The following is a 12,640-nucleotide window of genomic DNA, read 5'->3' on the forward strand; positions in this document are numbered from 1 at the left end:
TCTTTACAAGGCTTTGGTTTTAAACTTCTATCACTTCATCGGATCAATCTTAAGTACCTTTGAGGAACACTCATACATAGACCAGTTTCATCTGCTGATTGCATAAGGAAAGTAATATTTTGAATATCTTCAACTTCAATTAATGTCACTTAAATCACTGAGCTGGAATGGAGTTGAAATGGGTCACCTAGACCAACAGTTCTCACATCTGGCTGCTCATTGACACCAATGGTAGAGCTTTGTAAAGTTACCAGTTCCTTGATTACATCACAAACCTATTGAATCCAGTTTTCAGGGGAAAGAGTGGGAAAAAGTGAGTGTTAGGAAATTGCATTACTAAAAGCATCCCAAGGTAATGGTGATGGATAGTGGGCTTTGGGAATCACTGGAAGACACAAAGAAATTACTCACATACCAGCTGGTTTCCTTTGTGTTAAAAAAATAAATAATAACGTTCTTTTTATTCTTCCCTTTCTTTACGGTCCTACTGTCATCATGCCAGATCAGATTTTCACTGGCACTTGCCTGGATTATTAAACAGCTTCCCAACTGGTTTCCTTTGGTCCTTCCTCCACTTGGCCTTTAGCTATTGTGGCATCACAAGGCTCAGTGCTAGACTTCTACTCTTCTTTAAACTGTCTCTCGGGGAGGTCATATCCACTTATGCACAGATGACATACACATTTCTTTATTCAACCCAAATCTCTCAATGAAGTTTAAAATACAGCTTTACAATTGACATTTGATATCCCCTCTTGAACATCTTGAAATTCAATGTAACCAAAAGTGTTATCACCATCTTCTCTCCAACCTCCTTCAATATTTTTTTAATTAAAAAAATTGACACATAATAATGGTACATATTTATGAGGTACACAAAGGCACATAATGATGTTGTGATACATTCAATGTGTAGTGATCAAATCAGGGAAATTAACATATCCATCATCTGAAACGTTGATCATTTCTTTGTATTAGGAACATTCAATATCCCTCTAGCTATTAAATATATATATTATCATTAGCTATACTCGTCCTTCAGTGCTATAGAACAGCAGTCGCCACCCTTTTTGGCACCAGGGACTAGTTTCATGGAAGACAATTTTTCCTTGGATGGTGTGTGTGTGTGGTGGGGATTAGGGATGTCAAGTGCATTACATTGATTGTGCACTTTATTTCTATTATTATTACATTGTAATATATAATGAGATAATTATACATCTTACCATAATGTAGAATCAGTGGGAGCCCTGAGCTTGTTTTGCTGCAACTAGACGGTCCCATCTGGGGGTGACAAAAGATAGTGACAGATCATCAGACATTAGATTCTCATAAGGAGCACACAACCTAGATCCCTCACATGCACAGTTCACAATAGGGTTTGCACTCCTTTGAGAATCTAATGTGGCTGCTGATCTGATAGGAGGTGGAGCTCAGGTGGTAATGTGAGTGATGAGGAATGGCTGTAAATACAGATGAAGCTTCGCTCCCTCACCTACCACTCACCTCCTGCTGTGTGACCTGGTTCCTAACAGGCCACAGACGAACAGCAGTTGGGGACCCCTGCTATAGAACACTAGAACTCCTTTCCGCTATCTAGCTGTAACTTTGTATCCTTTAACAAATCTCTCCCTCTACTCCCCCTTTCCCTTACGTTTCCCAGCTTCTAGTATGCTCTGTTCTCATTTTTACTTCTATGAGATTAATTTTCTTTTTAGCTTCTCCATAAGGGAGTATATTTGGAGTTTAAGTTTCTTTTCCTGGTTTACTTCATTTAACATAATGCCCTCCATTTCCATCCATGTTGCTGCAAATGACATGATTGTATTCCTTTTTATGGTAACCTGTTGTGTATATGTGCATTTTCTAATGCAGCTAATAAAGCATCATTTGGTCGTAAACACCAATACTTCTGAGAATATGTCAGAAATATTTTTGAGATTTTAAATTATACCTATTTCTGAAAATGGAAAATATTCTATAAAGGTTTATACTCCTATGATTAAGTAGGTGAATAATTTTCATTACCAATTGAAGGGATTGGCAAAAAATTGTACTATGAATTTCCAGAATATCAGAAGAAAGGTCTCCTATTAGTGTGCTGATTCTAATAATAGACATTCATTCATTCACTGAGAACACTGTCCTAGGCTGTGGGGATACAACAATGAACCAGATTCACACATTGTATGCTGTCAATGAGCTCATGTTTCAGTTAAGGAGATGTACAATTCATAGACAAAAATTATATGAAGTCATTTTAGATTCTTTATTGATTACCTAGAATACTATGCCCTAGGAAATAATTTAAAGTAAAAAAATGTAGGTTTGAATCCAGGGTCACAACTTACTTGATTGCACAAATCTTAGTTTCCCCATCTATGCTATGGGTTTCTTTGGAGGAACAAAGATCTAATGTTCTTAGCAAGGTACCTGACACTTAGGAAGCCCCAGAAATTATGTTAACTAAAATAATAGCAATGATAATAATAGACAATTATTGTCAATAAGAATTATTATATTATTGTTCCTGTGAATACATTATTTATTATTATTATCATTATCATCTTTGGCAGATCCTGGCTCTAGGAGTTTGAGCAATATCATTTGTGAGTGACCTTCCATTTTCACACACTCAGAACTTTTCACTGATTCTCAAAGTGTTCTCTGGGCATGAAGTCATGCATTGCTAATAATTTCTTACATGTACAGTGACAAGTGCTCTTTCATGTGACATTCATTGCCTCCTTCTGGTATATTTATAAAGATCCTGTTTTTAGATGGTAAAAATATGGTTCAGAAAGATTTAATATCTTGCTCAAGGTCACATAGCAAACGCCACAAACTTTGTCTTATATTATTCTAAATATGACAGGTTGTTTTGACTCCAGTCTTTTTCCTAGAGGCAGAGTGGTCCTGAGTAGAAAAGAGGAGTAAGTCATTAAAAAAAAATATGAGGCCAGGTGCAGTGGCTTACGCCTGTAATCCCAGCACTTTGGGAGACTGAGGCAGGCGGATCACTTGAGGTCAGGAGTTCGAGACTAGGTTGGCTAACATGGTGAAACCCTTTCTGTACAGAAAAATACAAAAGTTAGCTGGGCGTGGTGGCTGGTGCCTGCAATCCCAGCTACTCAGGTGAGTAAGGCAGGAGAATCATTTAAACCTGGGAGGCAGAGGTTGACAGTGAGCCAGGATCACACCACCGCACTCCAGCCTGGGCCACAGAGTGAGACTCCCTCTCAAAAAAAAAAAAAAAAAAAAAAGTGAATACAAATATCCTCATGAGAATGGATTAGTAGCCTTGCTATTTACAGGTCTCCCTATTGTTAAATGCACACACAACTAGCAAGTTGAGAGTATGAAAAACGCAGCAGAAATAGCAATTTAATATATCTCCTATCTTAGATATCTTGGGTATTTCACTGTAAGAGCTTTTCTTTTCTTTTTGGTATAGCTTGTATATCTGTTTTATTAATTATCTCAACTTTTGCAGATGCCTATTTTTATGAAAATATTCAAATTATGACTCTGGGAGCCAGAGAGAGCTTGTATAGGTTGCACTTAAAAAGAACTAATTTGGAAAATTTTTCTAGTCTGTACTTCCCAAAGCATCTCTCTCTATTTCCCCTCTGAATCAGTGGCTGATTTGATTAGGCAAGATAGAGTTGAGTGGAGGTGGAAGACAGATTGTGGAGCAGAAACAGTGGGTTTGCTCCTTTAATATACCTTTCACCTCACTTTTCCTTTGCCTCTAAAATAAAAGACAAGCATTACATTCTCAGGCAATTTGCAGCTAGGAGTTTCCAGGTGACACTGTTTTGCCCTGAGTCTGCTGTTGGGTTCTTTCCCTACTCTTTTCTTTTTGTATAGAGTGAACAAATAATACCTGGAAGCAGCCATTTTTAAAATGATACAGCAAAAAAACAGGAAGTAGCCCATGTGCTTTCTATCTCTGGAGAACTTATATGAAAGGAATAAACCACAATGTGTTGGAATTGCCATTAAGCAGCTTTTTTGTTATTTGCAGGGAACTGCAATGGTTGGGTAAGAGACTGCTTGACTCTCAAACCTCCCGTATAAAGACGCCATGTTTTATACTTGTGTTCAGTGGTAGAAGTGTCTGATCGGTATTTTTGTAAATATTTAAAGACAATGCGTTGGAAACAAGAAGAGCGGACTGACCTTATCATGAGATGTGATCAATAAATGATTGTATTTTATTGCCTAAAGCCAGGAATTTCTCTTATGTAGGGGAGTGAGAGGTCAAGGGCAAAGTATCAGTTACTTCTTAATCAAGAATAGAATATCTCCTCCACTAGCATTTTTTTTTTTTTTTGACAGAGTCTCGCTCTGTCACCCAGGCTGGAGTGCAGTGATGTGATCTCAGCTCACTTCAGCTTCCACCTCCCGAGTTCAAGCAATTCTCCTGCCTCAGCCTCCCAAGTAGCTGGGACTACAGGCTCACACCACCACGCCAAGCTAATTTTTGTCTTTTTAGTAGTGATGGGGTTTCACCATGTTGGCCAGGATGGTCTCAATCTCTTGACCTTGTGATCCACCCACCTCGGCCTCCCAAAGTGCTGGGATTACAAGCGTGAGCCACCATGCCTGGCCCACTGGCATTTAATAAAAGATGAATTTTTAAAAATAGGTGAAGCCTAAGTAATCATCTTAAATGACAATTACAGTGGAAGGAAATATCATCTTTGGTAAAAAAAAAAAATTCAATAGAAAAGGCTGGGAATCTGAGAATCAGCTTTCATCTGAGTTCTACCATTTGCTTTTTACGCATCTTTAGATAAATCAAGTAAGTTTTTTTGCTTAAATTTCTTTACATTTTAAATATGACCAATAACACTTGGTCTCTCTCAATTCTTGCTCTTAGGATGATAAGTAGGTCAAGCACTTTGAGTATCTTTGAAAAGAAACAGTATTGAAGTGTCATGGATGTGTACATCATGAGTACTATGCTTCCACTTACATTAGGAGAAGATAACACTGCCCTTTATTGTCAACACAGGTTAGAACATTGACCAATCATCACACTGATATTTAGCAAAAATGAAATTTGTTAATTTGAAATCCAAGTTGTGGTCAAAGATACTTTTGCTTTGAGTGACATAATCACTTGCTAAATCTAATCAAGGATTGTGCCACAACTATTGTAGATGCATCTGTCAAAATAGTCGTTGGTATTTTGTTAGCTAGCTAAATGAATTCTAGAGATGAAAATTACTAAATAGTAAGAGTAGAACTGTAATATGGTTGTAGAGTTTATTCAGGGATTATGGCTTCCTGCCTCCACTCCTAAACTCAGTCTTGTTCAGGATTCTCTGCCTCAGCCCTAACATCCATTCAATCTGCAAACCAGGAAAAGTAGTCATGATAAAAATGGCATTACTAACATGTCTGGAGATATTTTTAGCTTATAAGCTCTTGTACGAATGTATCTGTCCACTTAGAATATCAGTGAAATGTAGGTCTGAGAATATAAGCCTGATGATAAAAACTCCCTCATTTTCTTGTACAACAAATCTAACAGACTGCAGATTACTGAAAGTAAGTCTGAGTGAAAGGAATCAGTCAGAACTAGTTTGGAATAATGTGAAAAACTGGGTTCATTGCTGATCTGTTTGATTTTGTTGTTCATGAATTTTAGCAGAATCATTTTTACTGGTTCCTGTGGTTTTGCCTAGCACAGAAAAAGGATATTATTGCGTTGATATAAGACCACTTTTTTTTCTGAGCCCTGTGCCAAAAAGAAAGATGGTCAAGGGAACTTAGCATAAAAGCAAGAAGGTTTGTGGAATAGCAAAGTCTAAAATCTCAGCCTAATATGATATGGAAGTGAAGAGAGGGGAGAGCTGTTTGCTTAGGAAACAGTTTAGGAGTCACTGGCTAGGGTTTCCTTCTGTGGTCAGAAAACAGAGCAAGAAAAATTGAGCAAAAAGTTGGATGGAGGCTACAGTCAGAGAATTGGAGGTTTGAATTAGTGATTTTGGAAAATGAATTTTATATTAATGACATGGTCAAAGATATCACTATGGGAGCAGAGTGTGAGTTTGATTCTGGACTGGTTGGTCATATGGGTACTGATGTCAGCTAGCATGATGAAAGACTGTGGTTCAGATGACAGTGTATCCCATGAATCAGCGAATTTCCTGTTTGTTGGTAAATAAGTAAGGGAAAACAATTTTATAGCTAATTAATACTAATAATAATATCTAACATGTTGGGTATAACATAATATGTGAAACACAACTTTAAATGCTTCCCATGTATTATTTCATTAATATTCTCAAAAATCCTATGAATTAGGTAATATTATTTTTCACATTATAAAATGAAGACATGAAGGCATAGGGTGGTCCAATAACTTGATGAAGGTTTCAGGGCTAATAAGAGGCAGAGAGCTTGGATATGAGTCTAGAGAGTCAGATTTCAGAGCCCTTGTGATTATCCAACTGTAGTATAATGCACAAACATCCAAGGAGGCTTTTTATTTAAAGAGCATGTAGGAATACTGACCTGACAGTGGCAATGAGAGTCTTGGCCCTCAGATATGTGGATATGAGAAAACCAGGCATAACTTGGAAGAAGAGGGCTATAGGAAGGTGGTATCCTCAGAGGGTAAGTCAAGTTTTGGATTAAAAATAATAAGGTAGAGGAAAAGATCCCCAAAATTATGGGGCATAGCAGCATTTGCTTGTTCCTAGAGAAATGTAGAAAGGGTGTGGAATATGGAGGATATATAGGTCCTAGGTCAAGGCTCGGAGAGGGTACCGGTGTTGTGGTTGAACAGTTGTGGATTATACACAGATGCATGACCAACAGATGAGGGATAAAATCCACTCACTCATGTAACTGCATCCACCCATGGAGGCACTTTTTCTTAATTCGTACAAAGGTGTTGTAGAGGACAGCAGAGACCCTAAAGAATTTACACTTTGTACATTGCATTAAATGATGAAAAACAAGACATGTTTTAGTGGGTTTAAACTCAGGTGTCTCTTTGAGGAGGGCAGACATTGGGCTCAGCAGCCAAGGGACTTGTCCCCTTGGAGTGCGATGCTGATGGACCCAGACACTGCTCATTCCCTCTACTGTGCTGTCAGGCTGATGGTGGACCAATTGCTGAGAATTTATCTGAGCCACACTAGTCCAAAGCCCAGAACTCATCCTCGACAACTTCCTCTCCCTTCCTGCTCTGTGTCTGATCCATTACCAACCTGAAATTTTCTCTGTGTGTTCCTTTCCTCCATCTCCTCCTACTGCACTAGTAAGCTTCTATATCTGTCCCTCTCCAATCCATTCTTTATGTTACAGCCAAAGCTATAACCCACGTTAATACTCCCTCCTTCTTAAGTAGCCTATTGGTACTGACCGTTTTGTTTCTGTGACCTTCATTTTCCACCTTGTGAGGGTGATGAGTATCCCCTTCCCTCTTTCTACTTTAGCCACTCTGCAACTCTCAGTCCCTCACATTTGCCATGTTCCTCCTGCCACAGTTCCTTTGCATATTCTGTTCTGCATATGAGAATGTACTTTTTTCCTCTTTTCATTTAGGTTATTCTTACTTATCTTCATATGTCGGTTCAAGATTTATGCCCTCCAGGAGGCCTTCCCTGGTTTCTCTGAACAGGTCAAGTATCCTGTTGTAGACTCTCATAACCCCTCTGTACAGCACCCTGATAGCACTCATCATAGTCAACATTTGCTTTATGTTCGCCCCACCACCCCCAGTAACACTGCTAGATCCGCTAGGACAGGACTGTGTATTATTGCTGCTTATTCTGTCACCAGTGTCTAGTACACGGCCTGCCATACAGTGAGCATGCTTATAACACATACTGGTGAGAAAATAGTTAAAAGTTGTTCCATTCCACTGGGATCTAATTCTCTGTGGGTTACAGAAACTTGTTTGAAGAAAAAGCACTTCACCTGGAGCTCGTCATCCTTCACCGTTAAAATTGTGCATCTCTCCCTTGTGCATTTAAATGAGGTCTAGACATTTAACGCCTTGACAGTTCACTGCATGCATGGTACTTACAAAAGTATGCATTGTCAATAAAGGCCAATATACTCCTAAGAGGCACAAATAGGAAAATTGGTAAAATGCAACCAGCTTCCTATGAGAGAGGTCAGACCACAGCAGCTTTCTCTCATGTATAGGCATCTTGCACAGAAAAACTGTAATCATGCAAAGACACGGCAGAGCACAATTACCCTGTACTTGACATAATAGGCTCTGATTGAGTGTAGCATGCATTTCGTTTAACTAGATTTTTGAATGGAGAATGAGTCAACCATGTGGAAAATGGTACTTGGTTTTGGAGTCAAGAAATCTGGGTTTGAGTTATGGCTCTGGCATTTATTATTTGTGCGACCTTGGGCAAGGAATAGAAAAATTCACGCGCATTGGGCATCTATAGGCATTTTGATAGGTCTGTTATTAACTTACTCCTCTCTTCAACTGTGTAAAGTAGAGATTATCATTATTCTCATTTTTATGAGGAAATAAGAAAAAAAGCAAGAACCAGGTCAGAAAATGAGGCTCGCATCTAGGATTGTGACTCAAAATTCAAGCTCTGTTTATCACATTATGCCTGCTAGGATGCTTGAGATCTTAGAATCCACCTCTATTGTATGTAAACAGGCATAATAATGGTGTCTTTAGGAGAATATGGTTTTGCCATTATATCAACAGAGCTGTAGAAGTGTAATTGTTGCTCAGCAAGTCTTAGGATTTAATTAACAAGTAGGGTGAAGTGACTATGAATTATCAAATTTCAATTACGAAGTGCCACCTGCCAAAAATTGTTTAAAATTTGATGTCATTTATTCCACTACCAAAATACTGTAAGTATATTATTTTTTCATATATACATATACTTAAAACAACACAAATGAAATAGAGCAGCACAAAAGAATAGCCCAGAGTTTTTAACCATTATTTTTTGAGCTTCTATTTAATCCTGGTCATAGAATTTAAAAAAATCTGAACTTCAAGAATAAATTTGGTAATTTTAGGACATTTTTAAGGTTTTGGAACTTTTTCCACTTTTTCTTTTCTTTAATGCTAAATTATGAGATAATTTATTTGTCAAATGAGGATTTGCCTTGATCTTATTCATTGAAAAAATGGATAGTCTAGTATTTTTTAAAAAATTGCTTAGAATTAAATACCTCGGTTGGGGAGCAAGCAATGATTTCTTGACAAAATAATCTGAAATGTTAATAATAATTAATATATATTACTATAATTTCTCCACCATATTAAAGATTTTTTTCCTTTACCTATATTGAAGGCATTAAGTGCTTAGATTTTGGAACCAGGTTAATTATATTTTTCCAATATCAGCAGTATGAAATTTTGCTAACAATATAGTGTTAATACATTGCAAATATCACATTTCTATATAATACTTTAAATGAGATTGAACATTTCTACTGATAATTGCAAAATTTAACCCCCTGATGTAGACCAGTGGCAAAGAAACTTAAAAGGTCTGAACTATTAAATATTTTGAAATAATTGTAATTGTAATATTTTCAGGTTCATATTTTGCAAGTCAATCCAAGGCCCTTGGAAAACAAGTGAGGGCTGGTACCTGGTTTCTGAATGGTACTGGAAGGGAGTTTTCATACTATAATGATTCAAAAATATAATACAATTGTAATTCAAAATAAAGTATTCACAGTGCATGCCTCTCTAGGCATTGTTAGAGACAAGTTTCTATACTCAGTAGACCCAAATGGATGATCAGAGATGGGACTCTAATGGCCACAGAATGCAGAAACAGCACCCAAATAGAGTGTAATGTGGACAGCTCGTATCTGCCTCAGCTGCAGCTTATGGCCCACATCATCTAAGGTTATTTGATGCCAGCCTTAAATCAAGCAAACACATAAACAAAATAAATGAACTGACATACCACATGGTAAGGAAATCCAACATGTGAAATAAAAACTTTATCTTTTGTAGATTTAAATCCAATTTGGGTAATTTTTAAAACGTGATAACACAAAAACATTCTTAATTAGTAAACTCATTTGTAAACCTTATCACACATCTCTAAGTTTTTAAGACTGTGCCTTATAACAGCCTATGTTTATTAATTGACAAAATACTCTTTACATTTAATTATGACAACTATTCCTAGGAAATGGATGGTGGGTGCTAGGATATCCATGACATTTTCTCTATTTTCTTTTTTTTTTAGTTTTCCAACTGAAAACAGCCTTTTCTTGATATCTTTTAATCAAATATTTTTGTTTTTTTTTTCAAAATGTGCCTAGGAATATACAGATTATCTAGAGATACGATTATGTGATCTGGATTGGATTCACTATACTTATACTAACAATTCCAATGTTTCCAAAATTTTTTGCTCATATGTAAACTGCCTTAACTGAAGCATGTCTTTGTCAATATCTCTTTTATAGCACAGTTACAGCATGATAATAAGATTATGAAAACAAAATGAATACACTGTTAACAAGAATGACTACTCAATTTCGGTTCTTAAATTCCTTTATATGATATTGCAAGTCCTAGTCTTTCATAGTTGCTCCTATATTGCCTATATATTTATTTTATTGCCTTTGCCATGTCATATGCTATTGTTTTCTGTTTAATTATTCCTGTTTCTAATTTATAATATATTCATATATCTTATGAGACATAAAAATGATTATTGCACGAGAAATGATGTGGTCACCTAGGTTATTGCAATGTACTAGATTTTGCTCAAGCATTATCTTGCTTATAAACTCCATGGGAGTCACCTTAAAACAATGTATATTGAAATATAAACACAATATTTATAGTACCATTTATTGGCCTGGGTACAATCAAGAGACAATATCGACTTAGTAATTTAAACATGGGAAATTTAACATAAAAATTATTAAACAATGATAAGAGAACAACTATAAACATGAAAACAGGGAGAGTAGTTAAGGAAGGACAAATTTGGAAAGAGGCTATGACCACACTGAAGAAGGTGTAATTGCTGACCACTGGATCGCAGAGACATTTGGTAAATTGCTTCCTGCAGAGCTGGTCCACAGTCACCAGGCGAAGTAGGTACAACTCTCTAGGGCACAGGTGATCTTAGGCTAAGAAGTGGGACCATAGAGAGTCAGCATCAAAACCCAGAGCTTTTCTATTTGTGGCTTGGGTAGGGTGGCTCTGGGCTACACAGGATGGAGGTCATGCCACAAGCTTGCTGATTATCAGCTCCACAGTACCCCTTACATTCATATCACTCAGGGTTGTGGGCAGCAGTTAACAGGGCTAGCGCACAGGTCAGATTTTTCTGGGGCTTCCACTATGCCATTGTTTCCTGAGTCAAGAACTGTAGAAAACACACTGTGAAAGCTGTACCCTCTAAGCCCTTGACAATGGTGAAAACCACGTGGAATAGACAGTGGGGAAAAAGTGCACTACCAGGAGGGAAGCCTCTGCCTTCTTGAAATGTCTTTGTATTGCCCTCTACTGATAAGTTTAGCATCATGATAGCCAAAAAAGAAAAAAATAAAGGTGAAGGGCCTAGATTTATTTTCACAGGGAAGGCAACCAGGGATGAATTTGGGGCTATGAGGCATTATCAATAATTGCCACACGCCACAATTATTTTTAAATTTATTTTACTTGTTTATATTTTAGAGATAGGGTTTTGCTATGTTGCCTAGGATGAAGTGCGTTGGCACAATCATAGCTCATTTTAGCCTCGAACTTCTGGGCTTCAGTGATCTTCCTGCCTTGGCGTGAAGAGAATAGCACTGGTCTTGAGGTTGGGCAAGAATCTTACCCTTTCTCAACTTTGGCGTGTTCCTCTGTAAAATAAGAAAGTTTTATAAAATCAATAATTCCACATTTCAATATAAAAACTCCTGAGACTCCATAGAAATTATACTGCTTTGAGACTTTCCACCCATTCTTTAACCAGAACTGCTTTACCATTATTTACTTACCATAGTGCGGTCCCTGTGAGGGAAAGTGATCGTGGAGGTCAGGTTGTAACTTTGGGTTGGGTCTGGATATGTGTGGACAGACTATTGACAAAAGACTCTCTTTCTCTTGCTTTCACACAGTTTCAGGAGCTATGGTTCTGTTCCTCATAAGGTTTTGTTTGAAGAATATTTCTTCCAGTTATAAATAAATAAGAAATAATAAATTAAATGACATCTAAATTTCCTTCCTACTGCGAATTTCTACAGTTGCTTGTTTCAGTTGTATTATCTAGTCAATTTGTGTGATTATTTTCATTGCACTACTTAGCCTGTTAGGCCTGGCCTTAGCCCAGAGTTTGTGTTCTTCCAGACTTTTCTCCAAGCGTTTGCACCTCCACGACCTGCACAAGTCATGGTTTTGTTTGCTTCCTTGCTCTTGGATGTGATTCTGATCTCTGGCCCTTGGACATCTGGTTAGTTCTGGTCAGTTCCCACCCTGGACCAGCCCCAGAGATTACACAGGTATGGATTCTAACATCTGCTGTGCTCCTATCCATTCCTAGTTTGCTATGCTCCTGAGGACAAACAGAGCAATGAGGATAGAATAGAAAGGTATGGGCATTATATTAGATTAACAACCATTAGATGAAACAAGAGATTATTGCAAATTAAGGTGGTGAAG

General features: G+C 37.4%; 2 long non-coding RNA genes across 5 annotated transcripts in view; one reads left to right on the top strand and one right to left on the bottom strand.

Moving 5' to 3' along the window:
- The window catches only part of LOC105377949 (uncharacterized), a 79,927-nt gene that overhangs the window by 27,777 nt on the left and 39,510 nt on the right, over positions 1-12,640 (top strand). The window lies entirely within an intron of this gene.
- The window catches only part of LOC107986634 (uncharacterized), a 117,445-nt gene continuing 116,504 nt past the window's right edge, over positions 11,700-12,640 (bottom strand). For all 4 annotated transcript variants that reach the window (XR_001744301.2, XR_001744303.1, XR_001744302.1 and 1 more), the window contains 2 exons: positions 11,980-12,150; positions 11,700-11,841 (listed from right to left, as the gene is read on the bottom strand). This is a non-coding gene — a long non-coding RNA (uncharacterized LOC107986634). The remainder of the gene's footprint in view (positions 11,842-11,979; positions 12,151-12,640) is intronic.

The sequence above is a fragment of the Homo sapiens genome, chromosome 6, assembly GCF_000001405.40.
Source record: "Homo sapiens chromosome 6, GRCh38.p14 Primary Assembly".
Lineage (NCBI taxonomy): Eukaryota > Metazoa > Chordata > Mammalia > Primates > Hominidae > Homo > Homo sapiens.